At 49.8% G+C, this 19,821-nt stretch overlaps 1 long non-coding RNA gene across 1 annotated transcript; it reads right to left on the bottom strand.

Annotated features, from left to right (window-relative positions):
• Positions 1-17,446: 17,446 nt before the first annotated feature.
• Positions 17,447-19,033, bottom strand: LOC105371740 (uncharacterized). Its single transcript, XR_934689.4, has 2 exons — positions 18,931-19,033; positions 17,447-18,143 (listed from the first exon to the last, which is right to left on the bottom strand). It is a non-coding gene; the product is annotated as an uncharacterized LOC105371740 (long non-coding RNA).
• Between the last annotated feature and the right edge of the window lie 788 nt (positions 19,034-19,821).

A 19,821-nucleotide genomic window follows, 5' to 3' on the forward strand; every position in this document is an offset into this window, starting at 1 on the left:
TATCCAGTCTATCATTGATGGACACTTGGGTTGATTCCATGTCTTTGCTATTGTGAATAGTGCTACAATGAATATGTGTGTGCATGTATCTTTATAATAGAATGATTTATATTCCTTTGGGTATATATCCAGTAATGGGATTGCTGGGTCTAGTTAGATTTCTGCTTATAGATCTTTGAGAAATCACCACACTGTCTTCCACAATGGTTGAACTAATTGACACTCCCACTAACAGTGTAAAAGCATTCCTTTTGCTTGGCAACCTCACCAGTATCTGTTGTTTCTTGACTTTTTAATAATAGCCATTCTGACTGGTATGAGATGGTATCTCATAGTGGTTTTGATTTGCATTTCTCTGATGATCAGTGATATTGAGCTTTTTTTCATATGTTTGTTGGCCGCATGAATGTCTTCTTTTGAGAAGTCTGTTCATGTCCTTTGCCCACTTTTTAATGGGGTTGAACACTCACGTCTTAAGCATGGAAAGCCAGTACTAAAAGGGACTTTAGAAATCATCTCGTTTCATCTTCTTATTTTACAGATGGGTAAATATAGGCTCAGAGGGATTCACAAAGCAATTTAGCATTGATGTTCGTCTCTGAAACTCAGAACTCCCCACCCTGGTCAGGAAAGTGGCACCGTCGTAAAGTAGAAAGGGCTCTGAAATCAGACACGACTGGTGTCCAAATATTGACCCTGCCACCTGAAATGCTCTGTGTTCTTGGCAAAGTCACTTAACCTCTCTGGACCTGTTTCCTCAGTGTTTAAAATGGGGGTGAGGATAGGCTATTGTGAGGATTTAATGAGATAACATGTGTGGAAGTGCATCATATGTAACAGATGGTCAAAGGAGTGAATTTTTTCCCCCACTCTGATTCCTCTCAGCAGCAGTCTATCTGCAGCTCCTTCTTGACCTTCCCCAGCTCTTTTGTTTTCCCCCACAGCCTGTGCTCCTCAGCACTCTCTTTTCCTGCCCCATCTATATGCCCAACTCCCCTCCAGAGTGGGTGAGGAAGGAGGGGTTAATAACAAGAGTTCTTGGGTCCCCTCCAGGTCTCTGAAAGTTAGCAAAGTTCTCATGCAACCAAGCAGAGGCAGGGAACAGAGCGAGAGTAGGAGGAGACAGGCAAGGTCGGCAAGCTGGCCTCTTTGTTCCTGGAAAATGAGTGCAATTTCCATTCCTTTCCACGGAAGCTGAGTCCAGCACCAGTGTGTGGCAACAGGCAGCAGAGGTGTTGCCGTGGTGAGTAATGGTCCTGGCTATGGCTCTGCCCTCAGCTTGTACCTCATGCCCCAAAGACGAACTTAGGGCTAATGAGTCAGTGTGAGTGACAGCTTTGACTTGGCCCTGGCTGGCACAACAGTCCCTCAAAACCCCTGCACTATTTCTGTTCTCTAGGGAGCCCTCCAAACCCCATCTCCGGAGATGTTGCTGGTGCTCATTTGATTCACTGCACTGGAGGAGATGGAGGCCCAGAGAGGGGAAGCTCCTCTCTCCTGCAGAAGCTGTGAGCTTTCTGACACTCTCCAGGGCCCTGTCAGCAGCCCACACAATTACCTGCAGAAGACAGAATTAAACCTCAGACACAGCTGACTTAAGTGTCAGCTTGCTAGCTATGTGGCCTTAGGTAAATTACCTAACCTCAATGTTCCTGCCTGTAAAAGTGTTAATGATAGTATCTATGCGTCGTTAAAGGATGAAATGGGTCAGGGCATTTAAAGCACTGTGCACAGTGCCTAGAACAGAGTAGGCACTTTTCATGCATGATTCTCCCTCTTGTACTCATTCACAGACCCTTTCCATCTTTCTCCTCTCCACCTGCTTCTCCAAACATTGTCAGGGAGGCAAAAATATCCAAGATGAGACTCACAGTAAATGTGTTCTCCAGCCTCTAAAGGAAATTAAAAGCCAGAAACCAGGGAAATCATGTTTTTAGGAGAGGCCCAGGGGTTCCCCAAGCCTGGGTTCCCATGACAGGGTAAGAGAAGCTCCTGCTGGATCATGTCCTGATCTTTACCCTGAGCATCATTCGATGGGAGAAGAAACAGAGGACAACATGTTAAATCTTATATCTGTCACTTTCTCTGACCGCCAGGCCCTTGGAGGGGACACTGAGCTCTGTGGTCTACAAGAGTGGCCTGCAGGGGCCTGGGGTAAATAATGTCCACTTGCAGGCCAGAGAAGGATTTGATTGAGAGGAGCATAGAGGAGGGCCCTGTGGGACAGGGAGGAAGCCTCTTTCAGATCCTCTCCCTGACCGCATTCACACACACAGGTGCATGCACCTGCCTGCTTGGAGGCACATCATAAGCTGCAAGCCTGACATGCATGTTTTTTTTCCCAGGTAAGTAGGTGGGTGTGCACAGGCGGGCCTCCTCACCTGTGTCCAGTGCTTGCAGGAGGGGCTGCATGTCCCATCTGAGTCTTAGTCCCACCCAGAGAGGACCTTCAGAAGCCTGGGTCTCATCCCCCAGCCCACTGGCGGATGGCAGATCTAAAAAGGCCCAGAGGTGTAAGGTGGCCTATCAATGTCACCCAGGCTGGAAGTGGCAGAGGTGTGGCTCAAATCCATGTTTTCTGACTCCAAAGCTAGTGTTCTTTCCACCGAAGCATGCCCACAGTGCACACACGCATACCCACACACACTCTCACTGGCAAGTGAGCACACACGCATCTAGCAGAGGGCTCACTGTCACCAGCCCATTATATAGGGCTGCATTTATCAGGTTGAACCCTTCTAACACCTGTAGGAGGTTAAGTATGTATTATCCCTATTTTTTCGGGTGAGGAAACCGAGGCACAGAGAAGTTAAGTCACTAGTCCAAGGACACATAATTAGAGCCCAAATGTGAATTTTGAGCAGTCTGGCATCAGAACTTCTTAACTGCCATTATCTCCGCTATACTGCTATATCTGTGCACGAGTGCTCACACACTTACATTCATATACACACTCACATACTCACACATTGGTCTTGGGTGATCTGGGCGCTCACCCCTGATGCAGCAATGATGCCAAGACCAGAGAGAGGAAGCTGGCTCCGGCCTTAGGGTGGACCTCCTTCCTGGAGAAAACAGAAACATCTCTCCCAACTCTTTCTCTCCCCTTGCCCTGCCCCAGCACCTGCATGAGAAGAAAAAAACATCCACCATTCCCTTCCTCATTCCAACCCCATCTCTCTAAGCCCCCATCTGCTTGGTTCCCCAAGGGCTTCCGGTTGCATTGCAAAGATGTCCTGGCAGTAGGGAGGCAAGAACAGAATGAAATATATGTAACATCTTATTAGTAAAGGACATCTGAGCCTCTAATTAAAATTTGCCTAATGACCCAACTTCTCTGTCATTTTTGCTCTTAGAGAGATTAATTTAAGGTGACAGGTACTTAGGCAAAGGAAAATTAATTTTTCCTTTAAAAAATCAAAGAGGAAAAGAGTGGCCTGCTCCCTTATTTGTTTGTCTTTAAAATGTTTATTTATTTGTCAAATTCCCTCCCACTCTTTCCCAATAAAACCTAATGATGGAGAATAATTTGGTGAAGGGAAGGAGACTGAAAGAAAAGTGTCATGGGGTAGCCTGGTGGTACCCACTTGCCCTGAGGAGGGCTGTTTGTGGTTCCCCTGCTTAGGAGCCCCTGACTGCTCATTGACAAGCCTGCCGGCAAGCTGGCTAATGCTGCTCAGGTTCTAGGGGAACCTGTTTCCATCTAGGCTGTTTGACTTGGCTGTGCCAGTGGTATCTGTTTCTCTATGGAACAGATGGTGGTACCTCTCCCCCAACACCGGGCTGCAGCCCAGCTTTCCGCCTCAGCATATTTCCCCAAGCAACAGGCTGCAGCCTTGAACACACTCTGCTTTCAGGAAACAGGTGAGAAATTCGAGGGTTGCAGCTGTGGTCTTTCTGTGTGACTCCCCTCCCTGTCTTCTGTCCTCCCGACTCCTCTGGTCTCTGAGTACAGAGGAGAGGGCCATCCTGACAAGGAGACAGGGGCGTGGACTTCAAGATATTCCAATCTCAGAGTTCAGATCCTGCAAAAACCTATTGGGATGGGTCTAGAGATTACAGAAACATGTCCTTAGCATTCCCCCTCACAACCTTTTTCAAAAATAGTATTCCTGGCCAGGGTCAGTGGCCCATGTCTGTACTCCCAGCACTCTGGGAGGCTGAAGCAGGGGAATCGCTTGAGCCTAGGAGTTCCAGACCAGCCTGGGCAACATGGAGAAACCCTGCCCCTACAAAAATACAAAAATTTGCCAGGCATGGTGGCCTGTTCCTGTAGTTCCAGCTACTCGGGAGGCTGAGGTAGGAAGATGGCTTGAACCCAGGCAGTGGAGGTTGCAGTGAGCAGAGATTGTTCCACTGCACTCCAGCCTGGGTGACAGAGTGAGACTCTGTCTCAATAATAACAATAATATTCCTCTTTTGTCCCATAGGCTCCTCTTCAGACTCTCTGATGCTCTGTCTCTTCTCACTCTTCCCAGGGCATCCTACTCCATCCTCACCCACATTTTCATCCCCACCCCATCCCCACCCAGCTCTCAGATCTCACCCTGACCCAACCTGCTCCACTCCACTTCCTAAGGCCTTTCTGCTGCTCTTTCCTCATTCTTCAGGATATTAGCTTTGAATCAGGTGTTTCCAGTAGACTAAGAGTTGGAGAAGACAGGCAGGAGGAGAGGGAGAGAGGTGAAGAAGGAAGAGGAATCCTTTTTTCTAGAGACCTAAGTCCTGCTCCTAACCCCTCTCTCTCTTTATCTCCATTTCCCTCTCCAGCAGCATGACTGATGCTGGGAAATCTGTCAGGTTTTGCTTCCTGGGGAGCCAAGGGAGGCTTTTCTAGCAATTAGGCCAAGGCCTCTAATCCAAGAAAGCTCTAAACACCCGGCAAGCAATAACTCGGTCCACTGGGCCCTGTAGGGAGGACAGGAGGAGCAAGAGAGGTGTACTCAGGGTTCCTCTCCATCACCTGGCCACAGGGCTGGGGCCAACCCACAGGAAGGGGCTGCTGAGAAGGTGAGCATGGGTGGAGACCACTGTGGGGATAGATAACTCAAAAGCGCATCCATCCACAGGCTCAGTTCAGCCCCTGCCAGGCCACCTACACTGCAGTTCCCCCATCACACAAGAGCCAGAAAGGGAAATCAGTGGTGAGGCTGTGGGCAGGAAGAAGGCATGTATGCAGGGCAGGGTGAGGAAAGTGGGATTTGGAGTCAAAAGGACCCGTGTCTGAGCTCCACTTTCACCTTCCCATGTGCTCTTGAGCATGTCACTCCACTCATCTGAGCTTCACTGGCCTGCTAAGTAAAATGGAGATGATAGTAACACCATCCACTCAAGAGGATCCCTGGGAGGGACGGAAGAGCTGGTGGATGGCAGGTGACAAAGGACCCCTCCTCTACATCTGCCCACAGCCCCACCCTCCACCCACTGGCTGGGGAGAGCTGCAATTTCTCTAATGCACGGAGGGAAAAGACGGGCCAAGGTTTTAAAGATGCCTGTTCATCTCACTTTGCATATATTTGCATATTGAGTTCAAGAGGCTCATCCTAATTCTGAGGATGGAAAATAAAATAAATTAACAAATACGAGATTAACAGATGCAACTCCTGCAGCAATTGTCTCCTTGGCTGTTCTGGGCTTGACACCCTGGAGACAAAGAATGCTCTCAAGGCAATCAACTTTTAATCATCTCTGGACAGAAGCCCCAGACAGAGGGACCCTGTCCCTCCCACCCCCACTCAGAGGTCAGTGCTGAAGGATGTAGAGGAGAGGGGCCTTGGAGAGTGGAGGGCTAGGGCCAGACTCTGTGGCAGGCAGTGACCCTTGATTTGCTCCTTTATGAACTTGCAGTGCAAGGTGTGGTGGAAAAGAGCATGGCCTCAGGGCCACACTGCCCAGGTCTGAATCCTGGCTGCGCCATGTCCAGCTCTGTGCCCTTGGGCAAGTCACCTAACCTCTCTGTTCTTGGGTGGCCTCCTGAGTCAAATGAGAATAATAGTAACACCTACCCCATAGGGTTAGTGTGAGGATTGAATGAGTTGTGTTACAGCTGTGTTCAGCATATTGTAAATGCCTGGTAAGTACTGACTAGTATTACTATTTTTATCATCACTATCACCGTTGTTGTCATCATCATGGTTTATTATTATTATTATGTGATAGAAAATGCCTATAGGACCAGGAACCAGAGACGCAATTTTTATTTTCATCCCAGTCTTCATCCACTGTGTGGCTTTGGGGAAAATTCCCCCACCCCTTTGGCCTTTGTACTCCAACAGGGCTGGCCCAGGCACCCTTCAAGCCATGACAAACAGATCAGGCAGAGTGAGATTTCTGCTTGTTTCAAGGCTGCCTGAAAACAGACTTTGAGGCTGATTGTCATATGCAAAACATATGTAAAACATATGCAAATCACCCTCTCCATGGCATTCCTGAGCTCCTATACATGGGTAAGGCCCTTGGAGCCATCCCTGTGTAGCCCCTGAGAGCAGAGACACTGCCCAGCCACAGAAGCAACTGCACCCCTCAGCTCCCCTCAGCCAGCTTTCTTTGGGATCCTGAGAAAAGCTCAGTCTCCTTGCTTCCACCCCTTTTTCATCCTGCCCCCACCCCGGCACCTGCCCATCTGCCTTGACTGCTCTGAGACTCCCTCACCATCTCTGGAGGACTGAGGGTCAGGGTCCAATTCTACTTCCATGTACATCTGCCTTGCACTGGGCCTGTCACCCATTGTATCACATTTCTCCCTCACTGCTGTGAAGGTGTCAGGATCCCCATTTTACAGACGGGGAGATTGAGGCTTAGAATGAGGCAACTTGTAAGATGTCAACTGCTAGAAGAGTGAATCCGGACCCAGGAGACCCACTCCACCAGGCTACCTTCCCATGAGCTCCTGAGTCAGTCCAGGGCAGAGAAAGAAGAATGGGTAGGGGGAACTGGGTCAGCCACTTTTCAACTTTTGCACCCCTGAGGCAGAAGGCTTCCCCACTCATGGAGCTGGCACTGATACTCCAGGCAGAGAAGCAAAGCTGCCGCCTGCCAGATTTCCAGAGCCCCATCAGTTGATGGCATCTGAAAGAGAGCCACCACAGAGCGCCACCACTGTGGACATGATCCCTGACCTGCCCCAGAGGCTGGGCTTCTCCCCTTTCCCTCCTGCTCAGCCCCAGCACTGCCTAAGCTCCCACTGCCTCCCTAAGAAAGATTTGGGAGAAATCAGAAGTCAGGGGCCAGATGTTCCAGTTCCCCATAGGAATTCTTCTTTCCCTGGCCAAATCCAGGAGAGGCCACGTCTTTGGCCGGGTAGATGTTTAGGAGGGAAAAGGGTGAAGGTCCCAACCACCAACACAGCCCCCAGACTTCCACTAGCACCCTCAGCCAGCTGAGTCCAGCCCAGCCCACCTCCTACCCACACCCCAGCAACAGCAGCCTCAGCTTCCACCTCCATTTCTCCTACCTTCCTAGGACCCTGCTCCGCCAGAGGCCCATTAAGTTGATTAAGAGGCACATTCCGGAAAGAAGGAGCCATATTTCAGCTCCTAGAGAACCCTCTGCCCTCCTCCACCTCCATCCCTTCCCTCTCTAATGTTCCTCTCCTTCTCCCCTCTGCCAAGGTCCTCCCCAGCCTGCCCTGGCCCCATCACTCACTGTCTGATCTCCCAGATTCTGGGGTACAGAAATGTTGGCCAGACTCCGTCAGGACTTCAGGGCGGGGCTGGGCCAAGACTGGGCCCGCCTGACATTTGAGACACCAGAATCTATTGTATTGATCATGGAATTTAATCCTCTCAACAGCCCTTTCAAGGAATTATTACCCCCACTTTTTATAGATGAGGAAACAAAAACTGAGAGGTTAAGTAACTTGTCCAAGGTCACCTCATTAAGCCACAACACCCCAGCCTTTCTTAAAGGCAAGGACTGTGCTTCCCCTGCTCCCCTGCAAAGCCTCCCCCACATCCCACCACCACCAAGTCTGGCTTCTCCCACCCACTTCCCTTCAGACCACCCAGCCCAGCCTGCCCAGACATCAACTCAGAGATTAAATGCATCTGAATCACCTGGGAAGTTGGTTAAACACAGATTCCTGAACCCTCTCCCAGAGATTCCAGGCCTCCCGTGGGCCCAGAGAGCTGTATTTTAACAACCTCCCTTAGTGGTTCAGATTTGCTGATAGGTTTGGAAACCACTTTATTAATCCAAATCTTTCATTATACAGATAGAAAAACCAAGGCCCAGAGAGGATATGTAATAAGTCCAAGGTCACATAGGAAAAGCCCAAAGTAGGACCTAAGCCCCAATTCACTTTTTGCCCGGAGGTCCATCAGCAGAGAGCAGCCAGGCCCCAGAGCTTTTCTGGCACTACCCCTACCCTCACCCCTGGCCCCCACTTCCCTCCAAGTAACCAAACATGGAAAGCTCAGGCAGGGCATCCTGTGGGAAAGAAGTGATCTGATGACCCCACACCGCTTCCCTTCTGGGCCTGGCCTGGATGTGCCTTGTGGAAAGGTCTTTGCATTCTCTAAGTCTCCCTTCTTCCATCTGTTACTTGGGTCTCTGAGATGTGCCCTTTCTGCCTTCTGTAGGGGAGCCAAGAACCGAGAATGAAAACACAACAGGGGCCAGGGGCAGTGGCCTGTCATCCCAGCACTTTGGGAGGCTGAGGCGGGTGGATCACTTCAGGTCAGGAGTTTGAGACCAGCCTGGCCAACATAGCAAAACCCCATCTCTACTAAAAAATACAAAAATTAGCAGGGCATGGTGGCACACACTTGTAATCCCTGCTACTTGGGAGGCTGAGGCATGAGAATTGCTTGAACCCAGGAGGCGGAGGTTGCAGTGAGCCAAGATCGTGCCACTGCACTCCAGCCTGGGCAACAGAGCAAGACTCCATCAAAAAAGAAAGAAAGGAAAGGAAGGAAGGAAGGAAGGAAGGAAGGAAGGAAGGAAGGAAGGAAGGAAGGAAAGGGGAGGGGAGGGGAGGGGAGGGGAAGGGAGGGGAGGGGAGGGGAAGGGAGGGGAAGGGAGGGGAGGGGAGGGGAAGGGAGGGGAGGGAAGGGAAGGGAGAAAGAAATAAAGAGAAAGAAAGAAAGAAAGAAGCAAGAAAGAAAGAGAGAGAGAAAGGAAAAGAAAAGAAAAGAAAGAGAATACAACAAGTGCAAGAAGTGACTCTAGCCAGTTCCTGCGACAGTGTTGGGAATGAGTCACCAGGTAAGATGTCGATCCACCCCCAAAACTTTGGGGTTTGTGCTCAGAGGCACAAGCACTTGGCTTGCTCAGGATAAGAGCTCATGGCTGTGCCAGAAGGATCCTCCTCAGAGGGGCCCTTGACTGCAGGGAAGCCACTTGTTTTTGACAAATCCATTACACCTTCTTTGCAGCTGTTATCCCCACTGGATGGAGGAAACAAATCAGGGCCCAGAGACAACAGTCGGGTGGTCAACCTGCTCTCAGAGTCACCTGGGACGTTTCTATTTTTACCACTGAAGTTCCTGAGTCCCTGAAAATCATCAGTTTCAGAAAAACCAGACCGGAGGCCACTCAGGACAATGAGCAGCATGCTCAGGGTCACACCGCATGCGTCCTATGGGCCTCCTGTCCCCTCCCGCCCCAGGGGGGATTTTTTTTCTTTTTATGGTAAGGAATAGTAGTGATGTCCAGGCCTGCAAAACACAAATGACAATAAACAGCAACAATACTAACATAATGTTTCTTCAGTTCTAAGATGCCATTGATTTTAAGTTAAAGTCAAGTTAACAGCTTATCAGGGGCAAAATGGGAGCTGTATTACATTACATGTAAGATGCATCATGATCCCAGAATTTAAATGTTGGAAAGAAAAATAATGGGGGTCTTCAAATTGAGGAAATATTTCAGTGATCATAACACTAACAGTTGCACAGCCCAACACATGTAGGGGACTTGTCCATTGACAAAGCCCCACTGAGTGTGCAGGTGTTGCTATGATCTCCGCTGCAGTGAGAGGAAACCGCCCACGGTTTCCCATCTAAACTCAGGTGTAGGTCTGTCTGTCCTAGTGGACCCACAAACCTCCCCGTCCCTGAAGTTCTCCATCAGGCTCCTAGGAGCAGATGTCTCGGCCAAGAAGGGTGGAGTCGAGGGAGGCTCTCTGTACCCTTCTGGGGACTAACAGCATTAGCTCCAACTGTGTAATACCAATGGCCTCATAATTTATATAGCGGTTTTCATTACCTCCCTTTTCCAAAGGCTTGTTCAATAAATTTCCATTTTATGAATTCCAAAGTGCTCTGTGGAATATGGAGCTCCACCTAGCTCCAATTGCAGTGGAGAATGGAGGGGGCTAGAAAGACAGTAGGGGTCTCCCCCCAGATCCCCACAGGCCAGGGGCTAGACAGCTCACCTGTGCGGGGTGGGGGAAGACCCACAGGAATGGAGAACGCCAGGCTGGGAACAAGTCCTGGTCTCTCTCCACTTCCTGGCTTGGTGAGCTTGAGCCTCACCTTCCACATCTGTAAACACGGGAGGGGTCAGACCTCCTTTGTGGATTGTTTTGAGAAGTAAATGAGATAATGGGAGTGTAATACTATACCTGGCACGCTGCAGTTATATGGCAAGTGCTATTTTTCTTCCTTGTTTGTAACCATCTCCCTGTTTCACTCAGGTAGTCAGTTGCCCCTCCTCTGGGGAGCCCCCAGGATTGGCCACACTGAGGCCTCTCTTCCTCTGCTCTTAATACCTTCCTCAGCAATAGAAGGTATATTAGTACTTACCGATGTGGAAAATCTCCAAGACATATTGTAAAGTTAAAAATAAAAAAGCAAGATGCATTTCAAAATAACCAAGACAGTAGATTTTAAATGTCTCACCAAGAAAAATGATAAGTGAAGTGATGGATATGTTAGCATAATCTAATAAATTATGCCAATTTATCATTAATTAGCATAATTTAATCATTCCACATTGTATACATATATCAAAGCATCCCATTTTACCCCATAATTGTATATAATTATGATTTGTCAATTAAAAATAACATTAAAGAAAGGAAGGAAAATAAGATGCAAACCAGTTTGTAGAATATAATTCCAATTCAATACAATATATTTTTACATGGATGTATGTGCAAATACATATATATGTATATATAAAGAGAAATCATAGAAAAACCAGCAAGTAGATTTCGCCAACTATTAACAGTTTTTAACCTCTGAAAATGGGACTTAGTGGTGAGGAGGGAAATTTTAATTTATTTTTGTGTAATTTAGTTTAGTGGGATTGGGGGTGACTTTTACTTTGCAGTTGGTATTTTTTGTATAGTTTTCTAATTTAAAAGGAAAATAAAAAGATGACTCCTCCCCTGAAGAATATGAAATATCCTCCCCTTTTACTGCTCCAAGGAAGATGCTGCCAGAGGTTAGATGTCCAATTTTAGGTGCCATGGACACTTTGAAGCCAGAAATTTTGAGGGGATTTTTTTTGCCCTCACGTGAACCAGGCTCTGGGCCCTGTTCCCTCCCTCATATCCACTCCAGTCTCTGACCCCTGTCCCCTCCCCGCTCGCAGAGGTCTAACCCTGCTCTCCCCCGGCATGAGCCTGGTGAGTTTGGGTACCCTGAGTCTCTCTTGGAGGGTGACTAAGGGCCAATTAGGAACTGTAGCTGCGTCTCTTACCATCTTGGAGATGCACCTGTACCCGCTGCAGTCGCCACGGCAACACAGCTATACCGGGGGTGCTGCCCAGGAAACAGGTTGCCGGGAAACAGGGCTGAGGATGAGCAGGGTCTCACCAGAAAGAAGCCCTCTCCCCTGTTTTTGAGGAGGAGGCAAACAGAGGGGAAACCAGGCAAAGATACAACCCATCATCGGTGGAGGCAGAGAGGCCTAACAAGTCTCTCCCCAGCCCTGGCCTCAGTTTCCGCACTCTGTGAAGAGGCAACAGCAGGTGAATGATTCCTTAGGACCCTTTCTGGGCCTAGCAGTTGGTGAACTGGCTGGAGAAGGGTAGGCCCAGAGCCAGGGTAGGAGTCTGGGCTGTGGAGCAGAAAGCCTCTGTCTACAAATCAGTTCTGTCACGAGTGCTGGACTTCCCCTGTGCCTTAATTCCCTCAACTGTGTGAACAGGAATAATAGAAGTACCTACCTCTCCTGGTGGTTTTATAGAATAAATATAATTCGACTTGCAGGGTGTAAACTCTCAGATATTTCAGCTGTTGCGACTAAAATCCCTGGCACATAGCAAACACTCAATAAGCATGTGTGATCGTTAGTTATTCTCCCTCATCCTAGCAGGTCCCAGACAGCCTGCACCCTCAACTGATCCATCAGAAATTATTTGGTAAGCACTGACAGTCTGCCAAGCTTTGTTCTAGGCCCTGAGGATACAAAGATGGAATAAAACAAATAAGTCTTCCCATGTGGGACTTGCAGTCTAGCAGGGTTCTATGGCCTTCAGCCCATGGAGGGATGATAGTGACACTGTGTGATCTGTGCTGGGATGGCCAAAGAACAGAGCGAGGGGCAAGGGGGCAGGGAAGGTTGTCCTGAGGCAGCAACATCTGAGCTCAAGTTTGAGTAAGAACCTGGCCTGGGAGAGAAAGGCACTCCTGGCAGGGAACAGCATATGCAAAGGCACCAAGGTCAGCATGACCAGTGAGATTGTCTGGGGGAATGGCAAGGAGCATGGTCAGCTACAGTGGAGATTGGGAAATGGAAAGTGGAGAGTGCTAACCTGGAGAGGCAGGCACCAGGCAGACTGTGAATGGCCATGAAATGAATGCCATCAGTCTGAGGATGCAGAGAGCTCTAGGGAGTCTTAAGCAGGGGAGGGACAGGAGGACACCTGGAGGGGGCAAAGGCAGAGGCAAGGAGAGCAGCAGGAGGGCACTGGGCCAGGCAGAGGCCACAGGGAAACCTTGTGCTCATGGCCCTGCTGACTCACCCCCAACTCATCCCATGGGTGCTGGGCATGATTTGAAGAAACAGCCAAGTGCAGAGGCTGAAGCAATACCTTTGTCATTTCCTCATGAGTCTCCCAGTGACTCTAATGGCCAGACCCAAAGGAGACCTCCCAGACAGTCTGAGCAACTACAGGATCACTGGAATCAGTGCTGTGTCTCCCAAGAGAATGTAGGTGCAGCGGGAACGCTCAGTGAGATGTGCCGCATCCAATCTATTTGTTCCATAGAAAATCCAGGCACAGGGCTGCATAGTTACACCTTGGATTTGGTGTCAGAGGCTCAGAGGTGGAAGAGGACTTGGAGATCTCACTATCTGGCCCTTAGAGATGCTGCAACTCCCCTAGGAGGGAGTCACCTCATTTTCCCCAGGCCCTTTCTTTGGAGGCCAAGAGCGCTTTAAGCTCCTTGGCACGCTGGAGCTGCTGTGAGCAGGAAACGGGGATGGCAAAGTTTCTGCAGGCGGGAGCCCGGTGACACCCTCCACCCCTAGTTCTACAGACAAGGAAACAGAGGATCAGTGAGGAGTGACTGGCACAGTGAGTCATAAGCAAGTGGAGGTTTGCAGCTCCTGGACCAGGTCACCTGCCAGCCTCCTCCTCTATCCTTCTAAAGAACAAAGCAGGCTGTGTCTGAGGCCCATGTCACCACGGAATCTTGGCTCCAGCCTGAACCTGAGGCAGCCTGAAGAGCTAGACCTGCTCCTGTTCTTTCCTTTTCTTTTTTGTTGTAATCTTTTTTCTTTCAACCTGACCTTGAGCTCAGCTTGGTTTGAGGAAATAAAGTGAGGGTTCTGAATGGCAGGAGGGACGGGGATGAAACTCAGGGCTCAGAGCAAGACTCAGCCCTTTCTGGTTCCCCACGGGCCCCAGGATTTTTACGTTTTCAGCTGGACTCAAAATAGAAGGGGTTTGGAACAAAGCCCTAGAAAGGGTCATCACTCAACTTGGAGGCTAAGAGAAGACAAACACTGGGCATTAGGAACACAGGAAGCACCCACTTATAACCCCTTGGCCTGTGAGCAACCTACTTTAAGCACCAGCCAGCTGGAGCCCTCCTGAGCCTCTGTGAGTCTTCCCCTGTCCCACCTGCAACTGAGAATACAGCAGGAGGGGAGGGAGTAAAATGAGGGAGGGCTCCTCCCACTAGACCATGAGGTCCTGAAGGGTAGGAACTGGGGCTTATTCATGGCTGTGTCCTCAGCATCAAACACAATGAACTGCATTCCCTCTAAGTTCAATAAATATGTCATATTGGAAGAAAGAAATATTAATTAAGCACATATTATGAACCAAGCTTTCTACTAGGAGAATTCTCATATTTTGCCTCATTTAATCTACACTTCAACATGCTCAGAGAATTGTGGTTGTCCCCATCTGGCAGAAGAGGGTCTGAAGTTCAGAGAGGTTAACTTTACTTCCCAAAGTCACATAGCTCATGAGCGGCAGGGTTGAGATTCATACTCATGGCAGCCTGGCCCTGAAGCCTGTACTTATTCCTCCTCACCTTGCCACCCTCTGATGCAGGGGAGCTTCAGGGGAGAGAACACCTAGCTCTGGCAACCAGGCCGCAGTGGAGCAGCTCCTGGGTATGGAATCCTTTCTCAGCTCTGCAGTTCAAGCTTTCATTTCAGCCTGGTTCCGGGAACGGGGCCCTGAGTCAGTGCCTCATTTGGTGTTTGAGCATAAATGTTTACAAGGAAATGGAGTTCTTCAAGTGACTTTTTCTCCAAATCTGACCTTTAGGACTTGCTTCTAAAGGGCACAGTGTCTGCATGTCTACAAGAGGCTGGGGCACTACATTAGGAAGACAGGCTGGGAAGGCAAAGGTCCAGGGAGAAGGGGACAGTGTGACTCCCAAGTAGCCGCCTCATCCTCCTGCCACCCTGAGATTAGGATGCAGGTCCCTCAGTGAGGCCAGCCAGTGGGAGGAGAGGAACTTCATGCCTTCTGAGAAATAAGTAGGTGCCAAGCCCCTCGTGTGTCCCTTCACAGCCAGGGCTGCATTTAATCCTCAAATAGTCCTGCGAGGAGAGCGCTTTTGTCCCCATTTTATAGAATGCAAACTAAGCCTGGAAGTAGCAGAATCAGGCTTGGAACCCAGGGCGTCTGGCCCCAAGTCTGCATTTTTTTCTGCAGCATCACACTGCCTGAGGGCCAAATGTCCCTTTGTTGGCTGTGCCAGCAGCCAATGTGTCTCTCTGCTCTCTCTGGGGAGGGGGACATAGTCTCCTGGCAAATTATCAGCAAAATGGGCCCATGGAAGTGGCCCCCCAGCAGCAGTCAAACCCCTGCCACTTTCTGAACCCCTCCTTGCTCAGGGGTCTGACAGATTCTGAGTCCTGGGGATCATTCTCCCTGTCACTCCAGGGACCACAGAGCCCTGGGAAACTCAAAAAGCCTGGAAGTCTGCACCCAGAAGACCATGAAAGATGCTCTCAACCAATCCTCTCTGTGTTTGACAGATGGGGAAACTGAGGTGCAGAGAAGAGCAGGGACCTAGCCAAGTCCAGGAGCCCATGGGAGGCAAAGACACACTGGCAGGCACTCACTCCCTGCAACCTTTCTTGTGGGAGCTCCCAGCCCACACAAGCCCAAGTCCATTGAACAGGCTTGGGCACTTGAGCTAGTGTCAACTGGTGGCTCTATGGGTGAAGGAATAACTGAATTAATGCTTCCTTGGTCCAGTGGGCACTTGTGTCTCAAGGTCTGAGCAGGAGTTAGACGGCACAGCATCTAGAAAGGATGTAGTTCTAGGGACATTGTAGTTTGATCACTGTGATAAAGAGCTTAGTGTGTGCCAGGTATTCCAACACCATCTCAGGCAATCCTCTATTAAATGAGAGATCAGTGTGGTCACACTGTCATCGTATCAATGATGACACTAAGCAGCACAGCGAGGATCCCGGTTTCCTGTATCAGTGAACCAGTGGAGCTCCCTCCTCTTCTGCCTGTCGGCCAGAGTTGGTGAGGACTGAGCGCAACACCCCCACTCCCACCCCAGCACACCAGGTGCCTCAGAGCTGGGAAACAGGCTGAGCTGGAGCAGGCTGGGAGATGGAGCTGTCAGCTTCCCATCTGCGTGGGTGTGATGCCTGCTTCAAGTTTCCGCTCCCATTCAGGGATAGTGATTGAAGGCACTCGAGGGGAACCGTGCGTTTTCCAGGATGATGATGGTGATTTACTGGATAATGACTCTATGTCTATTCTTAAGCCGAAGGCTGATGCCAGGTGCTCCCTCCTACAGTGACCTGGGTTCTTCCTAGAGGCCTGCTTCCCACAAGTGCCATGCCAAGTCGCAGGGAACTTTTGCTCAGGCCCAGGGAGTACACTCGTAGACCATCAAGGGCTCAGCCTCTCTGAATCACCCCTGGGACTCCCAGGCTGCCCTTGGCTGGGGAGCTCCCCAGAGAACTCTCAGACCACTCAGACTCCACCATGTCTGTGTCAACTGTCAGAGGCAGGGAGTTCTTTCTTAAGTTCCACCTAGAATAGAAAGGTCACACACACTAGGCTAAGAGTCAAGGGACCCAAGGTCCAGTCCCAGCTCTGGGTAGTCATTGCCCACCCCTGGGCCAGAGGAAGAAAGCTCTGTCAGTTTACAGTTCAAAGAGGAGAAAGTCTGCAAATCACTCTCGTTTTGGTGATCAAACCCCAGTAGAGCCACGCAGCCCCTTGGTCACTTCAGTCACACCACGAAACATGAAGAGGGGGAATAATTTCATCTACTCTGCTCTCTGCTCTTAGGACCAAGGTCTACAGCTGTTCATTCCTGTGACGCTGTGCTGTGGTAAAGAATGTCCCCCTCCTCCTCCATAAAGAGCTGTGCCTTCCCCATCAGAATGGCTGGGTCTCCAACCACACGTAAGGGCCCCGTTTCCCACAGCAATGCTGCTTCTCCTCTATTCTCAGACCCCCTAAAACTCCTTATTCACTAGGCCTCCTCCATAGATCTCAGAGCACCAGGCTGGGGTGAAGCCTCTTAGAGCCAAACCCCTCACCTACCCCTAATGGAGGTGTTTGAGCTGGGCACATGAAAAGTGGGGAGAGGGCATAGAGATGCCCCAACCTGCCAAAGCTCTGAAAGCCATCCAGTCCTCAGAAGAGCCTCCTGGAACCCAGGGTCCTTAGGCCAGGCTGGGTGAGCAGAGAAGGAGGCCTGCAACTGCCCCTCCCTCCCAGCCATGAATCACTCCAGTCAAAGGAGTGATGCACCTGCTGGCTCTCAGCTCCCCCACAGCCTGCTTTCCTGCAGTCAGGACCAAAAGCGGGACTTCTCCCTCTGGAGGCTCAAGAGGAGTAGGGAAGGTTATGGGATCAGATTGGGGTTGTGAGGCAGGACAAAGTCAGTGAACTGGAAAGAAGGGGCCAAGGTGTCTTCCTGTGTGTTTTGCAAGAGTTCTCTAAGGAGGGGCGTTGAGGCACCAGTCTGTTCCAACAAGAGGCTGGGCAGCACAGCCCGCCTTTGCACACAATGCTGTCATTGTATAGATTACCTCAGATCAATAAAAACAGCCACACTTTCTCAAGTGCTTTATTCACACTTCATATGACATTGAGAAATCATCAATTTGCCCACATTACAAATAAGAACAGCAAGGGATGACTTTAGAGGTGGGTGGGAAGGTAGAGAGGCTGATGAAATTATCGGGGAGCTAAAGTCACTCTAGAAAATATTGGTGGGACATAGACTCCCTTCCCTTGCTTCTTAGACAAATGAGCTTGGTGAGTTTGATTGTGAAATCTGCCAGAGTTTCTCTCTATACCCTTCCTATGAAAGGCAGTTTTGGGGAAGCTTTTGCACAGTAAGTCTTGAATAAGTGTTTGTAGGCTGAACAAATGAAGAAGTGGGGCCTCCAGCCCCCAGGGCCTTTGGGAGCCAGGTCTCCAAAGACTAAATTGCTGGAGGGTGTACAAGTCTGTTTACTCCTTGGCAGAAACACAAGTCTCCCTGGCTTCAAAGAAAAGAGGCTTAAAAAGGCTTGGGCACCGAAACGCAGACATCAAAAGCCTCCTGCCCACTGCCAGCCAGATGTGTTAAGTGCAAATGAAGCTGAAATGTGCAGATTCAATTTCCCTTGAAACGTACCTGTCAGCCCAAAAGGAAAAGATTGGAAGGTAGAGGCTTTTCTTGGCCTACTGCATCTTCCCCTCCACCCAGCACCAAATCCCACAGCTTCCTCATCCCTCTTCATCCTTAGGTTGACTGCTCATTCTACGGGTGTTTTGGAAAGGGAAAGGTGTTCAGGTTGAAGGCAGAGAGATGGACAAAATGTCTATATAAGGATGTCAACTATTAAAGGTGAAGGGAGGATGCTGTTGTCTTTTTTTTTTTTTTTTTTTTTTTTGGAGAACAATGAGGCATCTGTCTAAGGATTTATCTGTCAGCCCCTTCCCCATCCCAGGGATGCCCAAGTCTTGGGGGAAGAACTCAATTCCCACACAAAGGAAGACAGCTCAACTGGGTAAGGAGGGCTCCCCTTGTTTGAGGGGACAGAAACAATTCATGCTGCCCAGGAGCCTCCACCTTGATAGAGATTTCCCTTGAAATGGAAATCTGAGCCCTGCCTCAGATGAGATCCTAGTCTGATGGGGGAGGTAGCTCTGCCCAAAACCCCCCTGTCTGATGGTCAGTTAGCTTTCCCAATATCTAATAAACAAGCAGAGCTCCCCCAGCCCTGCAGTGTCCCTGGATGAGCCTTTACCAGATTTGCCACAAACAAGGACAGCTGCCAGGCATCTGGGCACCAGATGCTCTCCTCATCTGTTTCCTGGCCATACCCAAGGATTCAGAACCTTTTCCCCATTCACACTTACAGTCTAAGCAGGGCCCAGCCTGAGCTGCCCTGATCACCTCACCCATTATTCCCCCTCCATCAATATTCCCAACTGCACATCCTGGGAAGCCTGGTTCTTGGGGCAGAAATAGTAATGTACCCTCACCCTGGCAACAGCACCTGAAAGTCAGCAACAAAATCAGGCAACAGCTATTGAGCGCTTACCATGTGGCAGGCATAGGTGATGTGCTGGGGATGGAATAGCCAATAAGACACAGTCTTGACTGTGGAGGAGTCCCTGTTCCGAGCCCAAAGTTGACATACCCTCTGGGTCCTGCTGTTTCCCCTGTACCTGTTGGAGTCCCATGAGAGCACAAAGGAGGGAGTGATTCATTCTCTTTGAGCTAGGGGTGGGGTACACAGGTTTCTACCCCAGAGGAGGGGACATTTGATCCAAGCCTTGAAAACTGAGCAGGAAGTTGCCAGGCTGGGGAGGAATGAGCATTCTGTCAGGGAGAAAGAACGGCTCGGGAAGGGACATATTTCCACTGCAGCCAGAACGAGTGAGACTCGGGGGTCAGGAAAGGGGCAGCCAGGTTGCCCAGCAGTGGTTCTCAAACTCTAGCCTGCATCACCGGAACGACTTGTTAGAACAAACACTGCCAGACCCCACGGTCAGAGCTTCTGATTCAGTTGGCCTGGGGTAGGCCAAGGTGATGTTGGTGCTACTTAGCAGTCCACAGACAACACCTTTGAGAATCATGGTTATAAAGGGTCATGGAAAATTGTGTTATTACTCCCAATTATTCTATTTCTCCTTGTAATAGTATTACACATCAGCTCCTTTTGCCATGTGACTTGTCTCTTGCTATTGGAGGAGGTGAAGTATAATTTCCTGCCCCACTGAGCTCAGCCACGTGGCTTGCTTTGGCCAGTGAAGGATTGGCGGACTCAACGTGAGCAGAGACTTTAAAAGTGCTTGCATAGTTTAGCTAGGCCTCTTGTGATCTGCCATTCTGCCTTGGGAAGGGCATGCTTTGGCGAGATGCTGGTCCCAGAATGAAAGCCACGTGGCACAGCCCTGAACCCAGCCTACCACTTGAAACAGAGCTGCCC

The sequence above is a fragment of the Homo sapiens genome, chromosome 17 (assembly GCF_000001405.40).
Source record: "Homo sapiens chromosome 17, GRCh38.p14 Primary Assembly".
Lineage (NCBI taxonomy): Eukaryota > Metazoa > Chordata > Mammalia > Primates > Hominidae > Homo > Homo sapiens.